The following is a 20,581-nucleotide window of genomic DNA, read 5'->3' on the forward strand; positions in this document are numbered from 1 at the left end:
TGGCAGGTGCCTGTAATTCCAGCTACTTGGGAGGCCGAGGCAGGAGAATCGCTTGAACCCAGGAGGCAGAGGTTGCAGTGAGCTGAAATAGCACCATTGCACTCCAGCCTGGGCAACAAGAGTGAGACTTCATTTCAAAAAAAAAAAAAAAAACCTTAAAACACACTAAATGAAGCTACTTTATTCTCTTAACTTTTGAGAGCTATATACAAAGTGTCATACTAAGAAATAGTAAAATATGCTACCATAGGAAGTGAAATGTTTTCTGTTTAATTTCATAGTCTTACTAGTGTATTATGAATATGGCAGTGCATCTAATTATTCATTATGTGGCTAAGTCATTGCAACTTTTAAAAAACTAGCTATGGATATTCCTGAAAAAATATTTATGGACTTTAAAGGTATGAGTCTTAGGATATCATAGACTTTAACAACCAAATTTTAAAATAAAACTGCTGCCAATTACATAAACTGAGCGTTTTATAGTAGTCAGTAAATGACTCTGTATAGTAGAAAAAGACTTCCTTGACAATCATATACGAGCTTCTTTTGACATAAATATCTTTCAATATTTATGATTATGTAAGCATTTGTATTTATTACAATACTTATTTTTAGAGAAGTTGGTATGATTATTGCCTTTAGTAAAAATAACCATTCATGATATTGTGAATACTCTTCTAGATATTATAATGATATTATTTAAAAATAATATTATTTGGTCCAAAATCTATACTGTAATATTTAAAACTCTTAATTTTTCTTTTCCAGATAATGGTAGAATTTTAGCTATGCAAACCAAAAAATTTAAAAAAAGCTGAAAAAAGAATAAGAATGGATGAATGAATAAAACAAATAATGACACTACTGGATTTCTATTAATATTATTATATAATTTAAGTTTGAAATGGAGGAACTTTTCATCTCAAAGAGATATTTATGATTACCTAACTTCTGTTAGCAAAGTGGTTTAAAACTTTTATTCTTGGAGTGCTAATCATATCATTTTATTTTTTAAATTAACTTTTACTTGTATTTTTAGCCTGTACTAATGATTTTTGTTGTGATAAATAAGAAATGTGAAAAACTGAAAATAGACCCATGGAATAAAGTTTTATTTTTTCTAGGCCTTTATTTTTGGGCGATCCTAATGTTGAACTTCTAGACAGAGGACAAGTCTTACATTTAAAGAATGCACGGAGAAATGACAAGGGGCGCTACCAATGTACTGTGTCTAATGCAGCTGGCAAACAAGCCAAGGATATAAAACTGACTATCTATAGTAAGTGCGATTGTCTTATGCTTTTTATTGTCTGCTCTCATTATAAGTTGACAAGCAGGGTTTACTGGTAACTACACTCTTATTTCATACTGAATAATTTGGAATACTACATACTTCAAGAGAAGAAGGAGCTTATCTTCATGTGTTTTAAAAGGCTAGAATATTGGATCAAATTTTAATGCCTTTTTTCATTAAATATGGTTGTCTTCAAAAGATCTAGTGATTTTTATATAATCTCACTTAGAGAGAGCAAGAATTTCCTAATTGGTTAGTATATACACAAACCAAATGTCTGTATCTTTGAAAGGAACAAAACAAACTTTAAAAATTATAGAGATTTATGAAATAGAATGAAGTTGATGATATGCAGACAATTCAATTATTCTATTTGAATTCCATCGTGGCCGTTATCCTGACCATGTGATTATCTTTTAAATGCCTTATGTGTTTGTGCTACTGTTTTCTCCCAGCTATGTCCCCACCAAATATATGTAGCTCTTATTTTCCGTAACATTATCAGCCTCTTCTGAGGAGCGTGATTGCCAAATTCATTTTAATTTTTACCAGTGGAGCCATAGGTAGGCACATGAATATTATGTTTCCAGCACAAAGATTTATACAATAGAAAGGAATGGAACTCAATAGACCTGTAGTGCTCACTGCACTATCTTCTGTCTTTCCATGGTGTATGATGCTCAAGGAAAATTTAGACACCTCTTAGAATGTCACCTTCTCATAGGATCTTCCCATTAAAAGCAGTCACCTACTTACTCTCTTGTTTTCACAGCACACATCACTATCTGATATTTGATTGCTTAATTATAGGTTTATTTACTTATGATCTATTTCTTTCCCAGGAATTTAAACTTGATAAGAGTAGGCTTTTGTTTTGCATGTTCCCTACTTTAATGTTTGATACATAGCAAGTCTCAAGAAATATTTGCTAAATGAATGAATGGTCTAGTGTTACACTGTCTAATATGGTAGTCACTAGCCACGTGAGGCTATTGAGCACTTGAAATGTAGCTAGTCCAAACTAAGATGCACTGTTATATAAACTACACACCAGATATCAAAAGCTTAATATGAAAAATGTAATATATCTAATAATAACTTTACATTGATTATATCCAAAATGTTATTTTGGATATATTGGGCAAAGTAAAATGTATTATTAGAATTAATTTCCTCTGTTTCTTTCCATATTTTTTAATGTGGCTACCAGAAAACTTAAAATTACATATGTGAGTTTGCATTTGATTTCTATTGAACAACACTGGTTGAGTAATTAATAAGAGTTTGTGTTGAGGCCCAACCACTGCCACTGACTAGCTTTGTAACTGTGGATAAATTTCCTAAACCCTCTGGGCTTCAGTTTTCTCAGCCTTAAAATGGGGATAATAATAGCACCTATGCAGTAGTGTTATTGTGAAGATCAAATGCTAGATACTTTACGTGGATTATTGAGCTTATAGTAAGAGCCCAATAAATGTTATTCATTTATCATTATCTAATTAGTGATTGTATCATCTTAAAACTTAATGTACATATAGAATCTAGCTTGATTTCTATGTAATTTAATTGCTTTCCAAATCTCCCTTTTTAAATGTTACTGTCTTTATGTAAAGTTCAAATAGCTTTCTTGAATCAAAGAAATTATATTTAATACAGGCTTTTAAATCATTTATATCTATAAATAAAAGCCTTTGGAAGAAATTAGTCATGAAAAGACATGTTCTCTAAAAAAGAATAACATTGCTGAAAGATTAACTATACAAGCATCCAAGTTAAACAGAAGTGCTATTGGTACCATTGGCTTCCCACCAGAGCCAGACTTTTAAACAATAGGTGCAATATTTTTCCCAAGCTGTTGAGTAGTCTTCTCTGCACTATTGTATTTTTGCCAGGATCTGTGATGAATACATTTTGGTGATTCAATAAGACTCTTATTTCCATGGGACTTGGGTTCTTTCATTTTAGATCCTCTTGTTCACTCTGTATGATGCCCCCAGGCACCCAGAAAAGAGGGCTCTATAATGATTAAACCTTCTGAGATTGTCTGAGATAAAAGGCATTGTCATGTAGCAAAGTTTTGAATATTATAATTCAGGAAATAGTGTCATTTCCTCTTTAGCAATGCTCGCCTGCATCTCTTAGGCTTAAATTTATTTCACTTGTGAAAATGCTTTTGTTCTTAAAATGAAAAAAAAAAGTAAAACAGGTATCATGCTTTGGCTAACTGTGAAGAATACATATGTAGATTTCAGATTGAGAGTGTGTTTCATACTACACTTGATTCATTCCTTTTCCTTACTTACTGCTATGAGAATGAAGCAGGTGGGTTGATACACTTAAAAGGTATAAATGAACATTGTGCCTGAATAAGGAAAGAAACTGAGACAAAATACAAGAGAAAAATAAAAGAGATGGAGGATAAAAAAGAAAAAGAAGAATGTCAAACAGGGAAAAAAGTAAATGAAGTTTTAATATCCTATCAGGAGATTGTGCAGATTTACTAGTAGTTCTGAGGCAAAGATTTGTAAACTGTGGTCCACAGATGAGTTTTGGAGGTTTGAGAGCTTCCCTAAGTCAGCAGTCCCCAACCATTTTGGCACCAGGGTCGGTTTTGTGGAACGAAACTGTTCCACTGAACATCATCAGGCATTAGTTGGATTCTCACGAGAAGCCAGCAAAATAGAGTTCGCGCTCCTATGAGAATCTGATGCCCTCGTTGAGATGACAGGAGACAGAGCTCAGGTGGTAATGCTTGCTCGTCCGTCACCTCCTGCTGTAGGGCCCAGTTCCTAACAGGCCATGGATCCGAACCCTTCCATGGCCCAGGGGTTGGGAACTCCTGCCCTAAATTGCATAAAAGTCTTGAGGGGTGTGCGTGTCTGTGTGTGTGTCTGTGTCTGTGTGTATATATGTGTGTGTGTGGGGGTACATGGGTGTATCTATACATGCATATATATGTACAGTTTAATGAGCAGTGTATTCATAATTTTTATTTGTATTCCCTTCCCCCAAATGGAAGTATAGTTCTCTGGCAAATATGTATGAATTAAAATGGAAGAGGAAGTGAAATATTTATGTATTTGTCAAATTTAAGCAGTGGATGCTATGTTATTACACCATCAATTGCAAATATTCTTTGAGTAATTTTTCTCATTTTCGTAAATACAAACTTTTAAAGTAGATCCTTCCTGATACAAATGGTATCCTTTCTAAAGAATTCACAAAGTATGTGGATTTGTTTGAACCTGTGTTCTTGGTTTCATTAATATATTATCCAAGTGGTTAGGCTGGCCAGCGATTTATGCAATTTGAGCCAAAGTTTGATAGGCATTTATAGATTAACATATGATATAAATAATCTCAATCAAAATTAAAATTTAAAACATGAGTAAAATGCTCTTTCTTAGGATTTCAAAATAGTAGCTTGAATTTGTTAATTAATTACCGATAGCAGGACTTGGCAAACCTTTTTTATAAAGGGCAATATAGTAAATATTTTAGGCTTTGCAGACCATTAGGCAAAATAAAGGAGATAATATAGATACTTATAAGAAAGAAACAAATTTCTACAAAATTGTTTGTTTGTGAAATTCCATTTATTTGATAGTTTTTTTAAATTATAAACTTTTTGTAATACAAATCTACTAATGAGAAAAATAGAGTTATTTTGTGGGGAAACATTTGAAGTTAGTATTCTCTATCATCAAAATCAATTGCAAATGTTCATCTGCTACTGGTTTTTTTTGTTTTTGTTTTTGCTTTTCCCCTGAGAGGGAGTCTCGCTGTCACCCAGGCTGGAGTGCAGTGGAGTGATCTCAGCTCACTGCAACCTCCGCCTCTTCGGTTCAAGTGATTCTCCTGCCTCAGCTTCCCGAGTAGCTGGGATTACAGGTGCCCACTACCATGCCCAGGTAATTTTTTGTATTTTTATTAGAGATGGCATTTCACTGTGTTAGCCAGGATGGTCTCGAACTCCTGACCTCGTGATCCGCCCACCTCAGCCTGCCAAGTGCTGGGATTACAGGCATGAGCCATCGCGCCCAGCCTACTGCTGATTTTTAATGCGATTTTACCTATTTCGTCTTTGAAAATGTTTCTTCATACAGCTAAGTACTGCCTAGTACTGATATCATTTCACAGGCATATTATTTTAATTGTGCATATTCATTGCTTGGAAGGCATTACAGAATGTTGTTATATTATTCTCTTGATATTTGACTGCCAATTAATAAATTCTAGGTGAAGGTTAGGTGGAAAGCCCTCACTTTCAAAGATAACTAAATTTTGAATGTGAAAATTTTCTTTGCATTTGCCTCAAGGTGTGACACACTGCTAGAACTGTAATTTGAGCTCAGAAAATATATCCACTGCAAATTTGTGAAGGAATCTAGATCTCACTTTTTGCTTGAACTTTTGACAGCATGGAGAATGCATAAAGCTGCTTGACATTACTTGTGACTAAAACAACACAATGACTACCATGGTATATAGTTTGCATACATGTACTTTTTTGGTCTGGTAATTTGGGGTTGGACTCATTTTGAAACACTATGAAGTTTACAGTAAAACTAATTTCCAAAAGCATTCAGTATTCAATAAGAGTGTTTAAGAATGATTCTTTTCATTCAGAAAGAAGTTCAGTCTCAGCCCTGAACTCAAAAAAAGTACAATGAAACTTCATCACCACTAACGCATTGACCTGCTGTGTGGTAAGGCCAGTCAGGATATTCAGTTTGACTTCTGACAAAAAGTCATAGAACTGATGATGTTTAACTATATGAGAGCAAACAAAATACACCATTTAACACTACTGGTTCAATGACACCTGATCTTTTACACAAAGTGCTTGCTGGCGAATAATACAATGAAAAAACATAGATTTTTTTTAACACTTTACATTGTAATAAGCTTTGTAAACTTGTCTAAGCCTTTTTTTTTTTGCTTCAACGTATATTTTTACCAACATCAATTGTAACAAATCTTAAAAGATTCTGCTTCAGGTTATAATAAATTAGTGTTTTTTTCAAATTTTCTGAAAATATTTTTGACTGTAGTTGTTTCACAGACGGCTCTAAGAGGCTAATCCTTCAGGTTTTTTTTGGTATTTTTTTTTTGTACTTTCATTGGTTCCTCAAATAAACAAGAACAGGTGAGCAGTGTCAGTAACATCTGTCAACTTGTCAAAAGTCAAGAATACTATTGAGGAAAAAGTTGTCTTAAAAAAAAATTTACTATTGATGTTGCTCCCAGTGTTCTCAACTCTTCAAGCAATTATTCTCGCTGAAAGGCTAAGAATCCTTAACACATTTATTTTCTTTAGACCCGTTTCTTTTGCCTCTGAGATCATATCTGATTTAATTAAATCACCATTGGTAAATGGCTTTCCTTGGTTGGCTAACAAATGAGCCTCTCAGAAATTTAGTTTGGTTGTAGCCTTATTTTGGCTTTTTATTTTTGTGAAGAAATTTGCTATGATAAAACATTTAATTTTATGTTTTCTAATTTTTCAAACTGTTGATTTTGAAAAATCGGGAATATTGTGGTGGCTGCTTAGTCTAGTGTTTATTAGAACAGGTATAGTGTTACAAAATAAACACAGTATTTTGCCCTTTAATTTGATAACTAAATACTCCACACTGTGCTGTGTCTTTAAAAATTAGATATTTCACCATTTTTTTCTTGTTCTGACATGAGGAGTATTCACTGGTGATGAAATTAAATAAAATATCACAGTATGGTGATATGCATAGCATAAAAATGCTATCAAGTTGTAACTATGCCACCAAAATTTACAGTAAGCTGAACAGAGGTAGCAGCAATGAGAATACCGTATTTGGTTTTTGCTTTAACTCTTTACTCTGCTACTGTTGAGTAAAAGCCGTAGACAATATATAAATGAATGAATGTGACTGTATCCCAACAAAACTCTATTGACACTAAAGTTTGAGTTTCATATAATTTTTACATGTCACAAAATGTTATTATTTTGATTTTTGTCAACAATTAAGAAATATAAAAGCCATTTTTAGCTTAGCATCTCCTGGCCTGTGGGCCACAGTTGATTGACGCTGATATTTATAGTAAGCCTCCTGAGATAAAAATGATTCTATCGTCGAATTCACCTCAAAGTATAGTAGATCTTGCCTTAAGTTATGTGTGAGAAAAATATGTGTACATAAATGTTTGTCAGTATGGACTAGTTCTAAGAATGATTACCAGAAAATATTAAGGTACACCACTCAGCATCCAGATCTTGTTTTCTAATATCCTTTTCCATTAAAAGGGACCAGGCTCCTTGGAGAAATGGTTAAGTCTGGAGCTGGGGCAGGGAATACACAAGATGATGCTGGAGCATGTAGTAAGGCCGAAAGTAAGGAAGTGAGTGCAAACAATAAAACAAAACAAAATAAAATAATAAAATAAAATAGTGAGGGTATATTGAAGCGACTTAAGAGCCAATTGAAAGACCTCCCAATAGCCAAAACTGGATAAGTAATGTAGTACTGGATGTAACCCAAGGCATTTAAGTTTCTGTGAGTCCATATTGATATAAATAAGTGATTGACTCAATAAATAAAGTGAAAAGCAGAGACACATCTTCCATAGAGAAGAATTATAAATAAATTATGTAGGTAGTCCCCACTCATAGAAGTAGAACATAATTCCTTACTCCATTTCTATGGGCTGGAATAAGGACTGCCTTCAAAGGAAAGGGGAAGAAAAAGAGTAACTTTACAGTGGAGAAATATGGCAAACACTACCTTAGCCGGGTTACCAAAGGTACATGCTGTCAGCATAACTTAGCACAGGTCTCAGTGATAAGTCATGTTGATAGCATGTACGTTTGGTAGCATGTGATGAAAATAGCACTTTACCTGTATGGGCTGCCTCTCAAAATCCATAATCCTAGCTTAACCATGAGAAAAACATTCTATCAAATATTCTATTCTAAAACTTAAAAGTTTGTAAGATTATATTGATACTTATATAGATTATATTGATACTTAAAAGTTTATAAGATTATATATATATATATTTTATTATACTTTAAGTTCTAGGGTACATGTGCACATTGTGCAGGTTAGTTACATATGTATACATGTGCCATGCTGGTTATAAGATTATATTGATACTCAAATTCATACACATGCCATTTGATTTTTTTAAAATTGTTGCAATGATAGCATGATCCTGGAATGACCATATTTAGAATTTGCAGGAGAGACTGAGTGACTTGAGTTGTTTTCCTAGCAGCACAGCCCTTATGTAGTGTGAGAGGCCAGACTTGTGGTTGCTGAATTGTAGGAGATATACATGTAGACAATTGGATGAGTAAAGTTGAGTGAATGGAGTCTTGGCAGTCCCCACCTCCCCCCCAAAAAAAGAAAAAAATAGCAAGAAGCAAAAATTGAAGACTCTGCAGCTATTATGAATAGCTGGTTCTGAAAACACTTAGACCTTTAGTATTGGGGAGAGGGCATACAGTTGTACCACATGTGACATTTTTGCTCCCTTGGCCTGATTTGAAACTTGCTGTGTCTCCTTTGAGTGGGGTTTTATTTTGTTTTGCTTTGTTGGTTAAACATAACTATCTTAGTTATTCTACTGTGATCTTGAACCTAAATGACTCCCTGAAATGGAATCTGTGACTTTCTGTTTTTACTGAAATCTGAAACCCAAAAGGGGAATGATAAAGATGGTTTTGACAATAGAGGAAACTCATTATCAGGAGATAAACCACAGACTTCCTAATTGTCTTTAATTTACTTTAAATGCATTGTTTAAACATCTATAGCATTTAAGATTTTGATGAAGATGCTGAAACTTAGATGACTTGTTTTTGTTCTGAAATCCTTTGTAGTTCCACCTAGTATTAAAGGAGGAAATGTCACCACAGACATATCAGTATTGATCAACAGCCTTATTAAACTGGAATGTGAAACACGGGGACTTCCAATGCCTGCCATTACTTGGTATAAGGACGGGCAGCCAATCATGTCCAGCTCACAAGCACTTTATATTGATAAAGGACAATATCTTCATATTCCTCGAGCACAGGTCTCTGATTCAGCAACATATACGTGTCATGTAGCCAATGTTGCTGGAACTGCTGAAAAATCATTCCATGTGGATGTCTATGGTGAGGAACAACATATGCTTTAATTATATACCTTTCTACCTATGCTTTCTAATAGGCAAATATCGAATTTATTCACTAATAGTCCTTGGTGGGTTTGTCTTTTTCAATATGCATGGATAGGAATTGGAAGAATTTGTTCCATGATTTGGAAAAATATTTTTAAAACCTAAGGTTAGCAAGAAGGTGTCCATTCATTCAACTAACCTTTGTCATGGCACTTGGAGCATCTAGACAATTTGGCTATTACTGAAAAGGCAAAGTAGTTGTTGGGACAAAAATCATTCTCTACTATTTGTCCTTTATAAGCCAGAAAGTCCAGAGTTTCCAGAATAATTAGGACAGTTACAGTTTAGCTGAACCAAGAAATTCTTTCCTCAATAGCTTAGAGGGAGACAGGCATATAGGTAGATTTTAATGGTCAAACTTTGTGAGAAAAAACAAAAGCTCTTCTTTATTTCATTAGAATGTATTTTGTGACCACACAAATAATTGCCTGAAATATTGCTATGTTTCTCCCTAGTTCCTCCAATGATTGAAGGCAACTTGGCCACGCCTTTGAATAAGCAAGTAGTTATTGCTCATTCTCTGACACTGGAGTGCAAAGCTGCTGGAAACCCTTCTCCCATTCTCACCTGGTTGAAAGATGGTGTACCTGTGAAAGCTAATGACAATATCCGCATAGAAGCTGGTGGGAAGAAACTCGAAATCATGAGTGCCCAAGAAATTGATCGAGGACAGTACATATGCGTGGCTACCAGTGTGGCAGGAGAAAAGGAAATCAAATATGAAGTTGATGTCTTGGGTAAATAAGGATGCCACTGCCTGGGTTCTCAGATTCATAGCAAAACCTGATTAGTTTGTTAAATACTTTTTTGTTCATGCAATAATAAAACAATCTAAAAGAAGGTATAGTCCTCTGTGCAACTGTGGATTGCACATTACCAAGGGGTGGATTTGTCACCAGAGTCTCAGGTTCTAGAATCTTACATAAATCTTCCACTGATTTTGATAAGTATACTTGATATTTGCAAGTGCATAGATACATTTTTACGTCTATGACAATGTCTAATCGCAATGAGCAACAACATGGTCTTTTGTCATAAGCATTGTGCCAGATAACAGGAAACTCAGTCTCTGGGCCTTGGAAAGTCATCTTACCTTGAAACTCAGTATCTTTATCTATAAATTGAAGGCTTTTGAATAGATGCCCAATTTTGGGGGTTTCTTTCTCTTGTGCTTATGAAAATAAACAATATAAAATATGAATCAACTTTATATTCACCTGGCATCAGTGGCACCATAGTACTAGATGGAGGAATAGGTATGATATGTTAAAAGTATGTTTATTGATCCTGACAAGGCTTTATTGTAAAATGTATTTACAATGCATTTCAAGTCCCCTTCATGTATCAAACCACTATGATACCTATCAATCTTCTGAACTGCTATGTATTATTGCTTCATATGATGGTGTGTTTTTTGTTGTATACATTTCTTTGCATGTTACATTCCTGTTGTTTTCTAGTGCCACCAGCTATAGAAGGAGGAGATGAAACATCTTACTTCATTGTGATGGTTAATAACTTACTGGAGCTAGATTGTCATGTGACAGGCTCTCCCCCACCAACTATCATGTAAGGGTTTTGGTATGTCTTCTAAATACCTCCTGCTTTTTGTTTTGAGTGTTTTAGAGCTATCTTGAAAGCTGTTCTGTATCATTAAAAAGGATTGTATGAAATTGTATTCTTTATATTCCTCTTTTAAAAGACATGCTCTATATACAAGGCAATGTCTACTTGATAGTCCAAAGGCACCTAAATTTGCTCAATTAGAGGAATTCCATTGTATGGACTTAGAAATTACAAATTTTGAGGAATTCCATTGTATGGTATAGAAATTACATATTTAATTCACAGAGACAGTCTATTAAGCAGCATTGTCAGACTTTCCTGAGGTACTGAAATGTTTAACAGACTACTAAATAAAAAGGAGTATACCAGACATAGTAGGTAAATAGAGAAAGTTAACATGAGTATGTGTTTACCAATTTTTTTTCTTCTTCTTTAATTTTCAAAGCATGTATTGAATATTTAGCTTTTGTTTCCAAGTCACTATGGGATATGCAGAGGAAGAGTTAGTCAGTGAAGGAAATGAGATAGGTTCACACATGATTATAAAACTAACTGGAATGTGAAATTCAGAAATGTAAAAATATAATGCTATATGATTTCAAAGTTTTGTCTATAGTTGTTTTAAGATTGTGTATGTTTTGCTGGTTATTATTTAAACATTGAAGAGAGTAATATTTAGGAGCACTTGTCTCTTTTCTAATTAATTTTTCTAATTTTTAATTTTTTTGGTACATAGTGGGTGTATACATTTATGGGTTACATGAGATATTTTTATTCAGGTATGCATGCGTAATAATCATGTCATGGTAAATGGGATATCCATCACCTCAAGCATTTATCCTTTGTATTACAAACAATCCAATACTTCTCCCTTTTTTGTAGCCTAAAATTAGTAGAAGAATAAAGAACTCAACCCATAATTATTGGGTTCCAACAATATGCCAGCTCTGCGTTAGGCCGGGTTTCCTTTTTGCTTCTCTTTTTCATTTACAATTTATTTTACAGAGTAAGCAACTAGGAAATTGGACAAATATACAATAGAAACTTTATATATCTTCTAGGATATGATTTACTTAAAATATTTATCCAGACTTCCTTTTGCCTTTTTCTATAGGTGGCTGAAGGATGGCCAGTTAATTGATGAAAGGGATGGATTCAAGATTTTATTAAATGGACGCAAACTGGTTATTGCTCAGGCTCAAGTGTCAAACACAGGCCTTTATCGGTGCATGGCAGCAAATACTGCTGGAGACCACAAGAAGGAATTTGAAGTGACTGTTCATGGTATGCTGAAGAAGGGACAGGAACTTTGCATCTTAAATTAATTTATGCATTGTTTTATTATCTAACTCAGATTGTAGCTCAATAATGTGAATAAATCCTGAGTTGTGGAAGGTAGTGTAAAGGATGTGAATTTCAGTTGTATGCCAGAATTTTTAGTTACTTTATTGACCCAGAGACTCAACCAAGATGTATCATGTAAATACATGTAGACAGTAGCCAAAATAACTCTGGGAAATAAATAAATAAATAAATGTAGACAGAATTTAAACGTTAGGAAGTGTGTTCTACATAGAATGCCAAGGTCTGAGGAATTAGACCAAATAAGATAGAAGAGGCACGGAGCAAGTTCCAAGTAAAGGGGTTATGTAAGCGTTTAAGGGTTTAGCCAAAACAAGAGGGATGGTGAATACAGTAGTTTCCAGAAATGGTGGCTAAAGATGTAATTGAAGGATCTGAGGGACATAAGTACATTCACAAAACTGGCACATTAGGATTATAACCATTACTCTAACGACAGAAGCAACCCTCTGCCAGGGTATTATGTGTCTCACTTGCTGGCAGAACTTGGGAAGGGAGGACTGGAACGAGAAACTGGAGAGCCACTTGGAAACCACAAGGAGTATCTATGAATGTCAACTTTATTCTCCCTCTGTCTCTGCAGACTGCTGTTTTCTTGATTTTTAGTCCCATGTCCTGTGATGGAATATAGATAACCCTGTTTTTCAGTCTCAGTCACAATTCCTGAGGGAGGAAATCTGGCAGTCCCAGTTTAAATAAAGTTACCACTCCACATTCAATCAGCCTTGCAGGGGGCAGAGTCATGCAGTATAAATATGGCTAGAAATCCACCTTGACTTAATGAAGTAGTTCTAGAGAAAGGGAGGGTCATTATAGATTAGTAAAACACACCAAAAGATATAAGCCAAATATACATGTGGATTACGGTAGCCATAAATACAATTTACTTATTCTTTGGAGATTTAAAAATCCATAGTTAAGAAGTAACTAATCTATAAACTTGCTAAAAAATTATAAATTAAATGCACATGATGAAAGTATTTCATTGTTAAAATAGGGATTTGCTTTTTTTTTTTCTAAATTTTAAGGTTTCAGGTTCTTGCATACATATTTTTAAGTTCGACCTCACTGATTATGGTTTCATTCCCTCTCCCCCTTCCTTAAATATAGTTCCTCCAACAATCAAGTCCTCAGGCCTTTCTGAGAGAGTTGTGGTAAAATACAAGCCTGTCGCCTTGCAGTGCATAGCCAATGGGATTCCAAATCCTTCCATTACATGGTTAAAAGATGACCAGCCTGTGAACACTGCCCAAGGAAACCTTAAAGTAAGTGTAAATATTACTCAGCCTAAACTGGGAAAGCTACATATATCTTCCTGGAAATATCAAGTTATTCTTTCTTAACTGTAGATTTTCCTGTTGGACAGATTTTGCAGAAAATTTATTAAAAATAATATGCATTTTTCTTAGAGTTTTTAAGAATTTAACAATATTTTGATTTGAAGAATGGAATTAAAGACTAACTTTAACAATGATACTGATTTGAAGATAGTGATCATTATTTATATTATTTTGATTTATGCCTAATTTAGCTGTTAAAAAACTGGTGTCTCACAGATGAATGATGTTCATCAGTAATAAGCCAAAAATGTTCACCATTGAGTAAAATTAAGATACAGTCATATTTACATAAATGTAGGTAACATAAGTCTTGAAAAATATTTTTAAGAATTAGTTTATAAGCTTCAAGAGGGCAAAGACTCAATTTAAAAAAAATTGAAAAGTTCACTTTTTTATCGTTCATAGTGAGTATAGTCCCTGGCATATAACTGTATCTCAGTACATATTTGTTAAATTAGTAGATTGATGATAGATAGATAGATAGATAGATAGATAGATGATAGATTTCAAATCTGGATAATCTAAAGGATACATTTGAAATCAGAATTAATAGATTTTGCTAATAGGATCGAGTTAATTGACTAATGTGGGCTTGAATTTTACTTGTGAGTTCCCTAATGAGAGATATGTTATGTTCCTTTTTTAGTAGACGTGGTGGATATCTGTTAATTTTTAATTCCTATTCCAAATCCAATGGAAATAATCTCACATCTTTGTGCAAGTGAAAGATTCAGTTTTTAGCCTTCAGTCATAGTGAAGGTAAACAATTATTTACCTGGGAGACAGATATTTATTATATTATCATACAAAAGTAGGATTGCAAACCGTAATGAATGATGCTAAGAGAAAACCTAGAGGTGTAAGAACATATAATGAGAAAAGCAAAGCCTTCTAGAATGAGGAAAATTTATGGGAAAAGCCCTGATTAGAGTTCAGAAGACTCCATAGAAGTTAAATGGGTGAATTAATGGAAGAGAACGGAGTAGAGTGGTTCAAGAATATGTGCATGGGCAAATAAAGCAAAGGTGATCATGGCACCTCTTGAGAACCAGAAAGCCAGCCAGTGGGCTGAGGAAGAGACCAAGGGAGAGGTGGTATTAAAGATTGGAGACTAGGTAGGAGGCACTTAAGTAAGGTTGATGATTTTATTTTTACTTTAAGGTAATGAGAGACCTTTGAAGAGTTTTAAGAGAGGAGTAACATGATCAGGTTTGCATTTTAAGTAGTCATCCAGACCCATTCCAAAGAATAAATTGGAGGAGCCAATAATAGATATGTAGAAACCAATTAGAACCTAGTTACATTTGTCTAGGAGAGAGAAAAGATAGAAATTTAGACTCATATGTTGGCCATGCAGATGAGGATACTTGGATAGATTGGTGAGGTATTTATTAGTTAAATCACTGGGGGTTGAGGAAAGATTCTTTATGAAAAGTGAAGGAGAGGGATGTGGCAAGGAAGACTCCTAGGATTCCAACGTACACAACTGCATGGCTAGTGTTGCCATACAGTGAGATAAGAGACTGGAGAGGGACAAGTTTGAGGTGAGAAAACTGATTTGAGTTTTAGATTTTGGGGGGTTAAGGTGACTATGAGATCAACTAGTGGAGATGTCAGTAGATCATTGAGTATATGGTCTTGGAGCTCAAAGGAGAGTTCTGGCTGGACATATTGGCACATTAACAATATTTGAAACCATGGGCATGGATGAGTTAATCCAAGGAGAGAGTAAAGGGTAAGATGAAAAAGAAGAGAGGACTGACCTAGTTCGATCTTTAAAAATTATGGCATTTAAAGACCATGTAATATAATAGTCCAGACATGAATATAAATGTATGAATGTGTTGCTTAACATGTTTATAACAGTATGAATGGAGAATAGGTTAAGTGGGAGTTTACATGGGAGAGTTTGGAGAGATCATTTGGGGTCAGAATGTGGTGAGCCTGGAGGGCTGTGCTGAGTTCAGATTTCATTCTGGAAAAGGTGGAGAGCCATGAATGAAATTTGATGGGAAATTGGTTAAAGGATCAAATTTGAATTTTAAACAAATTATTCTGGCAACAATATGCAAGATAGATTAACAGCTGGGGAGGTTGGAGACACTGGAACATCAGTTAAGAAGCTATTATAATCCCACAGTGGCTGTGGAAATGGAAAACAGGGGATCTGAGAAACATATAGTGGCATAATTAATAGGATTCAAAGTAGGTTCCAAAACCTAGATGACTGGAAAAATAGTGGGTGCCATTAAACAAGACTGGGAACATGCAATCAGAAGTAGACTTTAGAAATACAAGGGAAAATATATGAGCTTAATTTTGTGCGAGTGAATTTGATGTTAAATTTAATGTACTACCTGTCCAGCAGATTGCTGGAAGGACACATGTAGAGCTCAGGAGAGACAGTGAGGCTATCCTGTAAATTTAGGATGCATTAGAGTTTTTCACTGATGCCATGAGTTTGGATAAAAACTATCAGACAGCTATGTTCCTTGGGTGTGGAACAGGAAGAGGAAGCAGATTCTGAAAAGTAATCTCCTAAGAAAGTCAGAGAATTAGAACTGAGGGAATGCTTATCTTTAACACCCAGAAAGTAGAGAGTTTCAAGGAGTTGGTAGTCAACCACACCAAATGCTATAGATGGTAGAGGAGAGTATGAGCTTACTACCTAGGCTGGTGGGTATTGTGACTGGAAGTTACTAGTAACCTCCGAATAGCATGTTTCAAAGAATAACCTCTGAATCACCAGTTTCAAAATGGCAGAGGCCAGTTGCAGTAGGTTTAAGAGGGAAATTGTGAAAAATAGGAAGAAATTTATCTGCATTCTCATAATTCATATTTTATAATTTTATTGTTTTTCTGGTTCCCATGATCATTTAATAAAAAGTCATTGTTTTAAAACTATGAATTTTTATATAAATGTGGCCAGGTTTTTTTTTCAAATAGCTTAAATTTTCATCACTTACTTCATAGTTCAGTGCTAAAGTCTTTTATTCAGTATGACTATACCAGTAAGCTGGCCTTATGTTATTTTATTTTGTGTTTTCCAATGAATAAGAAAAGGCTTTTCAATCAAACTAGTCTATTGTCTTGTGCATGATGATGTGAACTCGCTCTAGTCTATCAAGGGTTTATTAAGATATTGGCATGAAAATATTGTTAGATATTATAAATTTAAATGAATTTTTCTGTCTCAGTGAATATTTTCAAATCCAAGTATAAGATACAAAAATCCTCTGTGCTTTCTGCTCCCAATTAGATACAGTCTTCTGGTCGAGTTCTACAAATTGCCAAAACCCTGTTGGAAGATGCTGGCAGATACACATGTGTGGCTACCAACGCAGCTGGAGAAACACAACAGCACATTCAACTGCATGTTCATGGTAATGTAATTTCTACACCTTAACAAAAGAATATTTGTATCACTTTTTAAAAACATAGTGGGCTCATTTTTATTGAATTACAGTATAAAAGAAACAGGTGTTTATTTTCTTAGTCTGTATAAAAAAAACCTAGGGTTTTTTTTTTTTTTTTACATTATTGTAATTTTCATTGCTCGTGTTAGGATCTTCTGTTTTCAGGTTGTCAAACAGGATATACTGGAGCTCATAATTAAATACACCATGTGTTTTAAGTTAACTGTATTCTGTTAACTTATAGCTTTCTACAGATAACTTTTGTTGAAAAGACAGAAGTTGACAGCATTGTTTCTTAATCTTGTCTGCGTTTTTCTTGCCTGCCTATAAGAAGGATTTAGTGAGTAGAAGCCATCTTTGGCTCAGGATTTTCTCCAATGTGCTGTAATAAAAAGTCTGGGTGGCCACAGAGCACCTCAATAAAATCATAGCTTCACAGTAAACTTGAAAGACTACATAACCTTGAATATACCACTTCAGATCTCTAGAGGCTCATCAGAAAAGGCCAATAATTAGAGGGTTGGACTTTCCTAATTTAGCCAGAATATTTGCAGAAAACTGTTCAAGATTTTCATGTACACGTTATTCATTTTCTCTAATTCACATGATTTCTTCTTCAGCCTTTTATTAATTTATTCATTCATATATTCACTTCACATTTACCAAGCAATTAAACCTAGAATAATGTCCTAGCACCTAGCTTAATTCCAGGTATATAGTAGGCAGTCAAAAATATTTAACAAATAAAAGAGTAAATAGTAGGTGAATGAAAAAGTTTTCATTGGATATTAAATTCTTCTAATTTGCTTCTTCGTACATTTTCTTCCATTTGAATAAACTGGTTAAAAAGATTCAAATCATCAGTTTCCTAAATGTTTCCAATATATCAATTTATTCTTTTCCCAGTCCCTGAAATATGAACACCTAACTTAGGGATGTCTACATACATACCATAACATACGTAAACCATGTGGGTCTTTATTCTTTCACTGGATCGTTAGTTGGGAGACGAATATCTGAATGTAACCATTTTGCAATTGGCTGACAATGCTAGTGGGGTTAGGGGACAGGCTGACCCTGCTCTACTGTAAGGTGCCTTGCATTTGCCTCGTTCCCCATAAGGCCTTTATCTCTTCCTAGTGCTCTTTACAGCTGTCTCCAGCATCTGCTTAGACTTACACTTCCATCTAAGAGTATGCTGGGGGGGATTCTCTCTTCTTTCTTATTTCCCTATCCTGAGGCTCGTTCTCTTCTCCTTCTGCAAGCTATTTGCCTTCCCTCTCCCATCAAGTTCAGTTCTTGTCTGGTCTCTGTTACTGGCTAAGAGGAAACAGTGAAGTGGGATACAATGGCATGATACAATCATCTTAGGCGCTTAGGAGTCAGGCCAACTTTGGTTTAAATTCTATGCTAAACATGATGTATGTTACCTTGAGTAAACTACTTAATTTCTATGAGTATCTGACTTCCATAGTGATTTTGGGGTTCAGAGATAATAGGTATAAAACATCTCCCACTTCATAGACACTAAATAAATGTTAGCAGCTAACTTTGCTAACTTCTACTTCCTGAGGTGTTTTTAAAAAGAAGGATGTTTTGTTCTCTAGACTATTTTTAAAATACTTAAATGAATGCTCTATAACAGCAGCCCCCAACCTTTTTGGCACCAGGGACCAGTTTCTTGGAAGACAATTTTCCCACAGACTAGGGAGAGGGATGGTTTCAGGATTATTCAAGTCCATGACATTTATTGTGCACTTTATTTCTATTATTATTACATTGTAATATATAATGGTATAATTATACAACTCACCATAATGTAGAATCAGTGGAAGCCCTGAGCTTGTTTTTCTGCAACTAGACGGTCCCATCTGGGGGTAACGGGAAACAGTGACAGATCATCAGGCATTATATTATCGTAATGAACATGCAACCCAGATCCCTTGCATGCACAGTTCACAATAGGGTTCGTACTCCTAGGAGAATCTACTGCTGCTGCTGATCTGATAGGAGGCAGCGCTCAGGTGGTAATGCTTGCTCTCCTGCCACTCACCTCCTGCTGTGTGGCCCAGTTCCTAACCAGCCATCAACTGGTATCAGTCTGTGGCCCAGGGTTGGGGACCCCTGCTGTATAATAAAGAATAGAGTGTATGTCTCCAGTCCTGGAAGTATCTGCCTAGAACAGATGCTCTAAAATTTCAGTATTCTTAAAAGACATGTAAGTTACATATTAAACATACAGCTTCCTGGGCCTAGTCCCAGATCTCCTGAAACAGCACCTCTAATGTAGGTAGTCTGTGAGCCCGTGTTTGGAAAAACATTGGCCTAGATACTAAAGACTGGCCTGAAGACTTGCCAGTGTAGTCAGGACTGACTGAAAACCAGAGTCTGTGAGAGAAATCAAGTATCCCATCAAATAAAGAGCAACAACAGAAGAGAAAAAGCATAATTGATACCTAAGAAGGCACAAGTCTCTAAACTTGAATATTATAGCAAAATGTTGGTTGACGGGAGATGCAATTAGGGTGCACCTCTACATGGAAAATCATCAAAGAGAAGGGGGCAGACTGGTAAACATATGGGTTAATGTGAAATGAAAGAGAAGCAGAAGGTTAGTCATTTTAAGAGCTTATTAAAAATTGCTCAATCAGAGGGAGAATATAAAACTATCTTCCTGATACAAATCACAGGATAAAAGTAAGGTATAGTAGTAGGTTAAAACATTTCAACTAATATGATCATGACTTGTGTACATAACAGTTCATCTCCCTGAAGGGAGAATAAATGATGAAGTGCACTTCTAATCTGATACTAATTGTGATCAGCCTGGAAGAAGCAGTTGGCTGAGTGCATGTGATGGGAATCTAGAAATCTAGACAGAAAACTGGCATTTCACTTTGACATTCATGACAATAACATCACATTGGACACATAAGTCTCCAAACCTGACTCTGTCCTCTTCAATACTTGCATTTATAACTTTACTGATAATTGGAGATGTTAAAAAATGTAGGAATTTCTAAGAGACTGGTTGATGATAGACTTCAAAAAGACCTCAGTGGTTAAAATGACAAGTTAATGTGGAAAACTATATAAGAATAGGATGTGAAAAGCATGGCTTAAAAGACACCATGCATTGAAATACTTGAGTATTTGAATTTGGATTTGGTTTGTTCCAATTACTGTAGGTATGAGAATTTAGTTTCATAAAAAAGTTAATCAAACTTAGCAGCCAATAGCAGAAGTTACAGTATAAGGAACAAGAGAGGAACTAGCCCAATTAATACTGTTGCTCTTCGAATGCTCCCAAAGTATTGCATACAATTCTTGTTCTATGTATTAAAAAGGGCATTGCAAAACCCATGGGGAAGCAATCCTCATTTAATTAGGTTCAG

At 34.9% G+C, this 20,581-nt stretch overlaps 1 protein-coding gene across 6 annotated transcripts in view; it reads left to right on the plus strand.

Moving 5' to 3' along the window:
- Window positions 1-20,581, plus strand: part of HMCN1 (hemicentin 1) — a 456,559-nt gene that overhangs the window by 271,610 nt on the left and 164,368 nt on the right. For all 6 annotated transcript variants that reach the window (NM_031935.3, XM_011510038.4, XM_024450118.2 and 3 more), the window contains 7 exons: window positions 1,128-1,282; window positions 9,159-9,437; window positions 9,958-10,239; window positions 10,963-11,071; window positions 12,183-12,352; window positions 13,541-13,695; window positions 17,030-17,153. In NM_031935.3, the coding sequence (NP_114141.2) occupies window positions 1,128-1,282; window positions 9,159-9,437; window positions 9,958-10,239; window positions 10,963-11,071; window positions 12,183-12,352; window positions 13,541-13,695; window positions 17,030-17,153 (1,274 nt within the window). The remainder of the gene's footprint in view (window positions 1-1,127; window positions 1,283-9,158; window positions 9,438-9,957; window positions 10,240-10,962; window positions 11,072-12,182; window positions 12,353-13,540; window positions 13,696-17,029; window positions 17,154-20,581) is intronic.

The sequence above is a fragment of the Homo sapiens genome, chromosome 1 (genome assembly GCF_000001405.40).
Source record: "Homo sapiens chromosome 1, GRCh38.p14 Primary Assembly".
In the NCBI taxonomy this organism is placed as follows: Eukaryota; Metazoa; Chordata; class Mammalia; order Primates; family Hominidae; genus Homo; species Homo sapiens.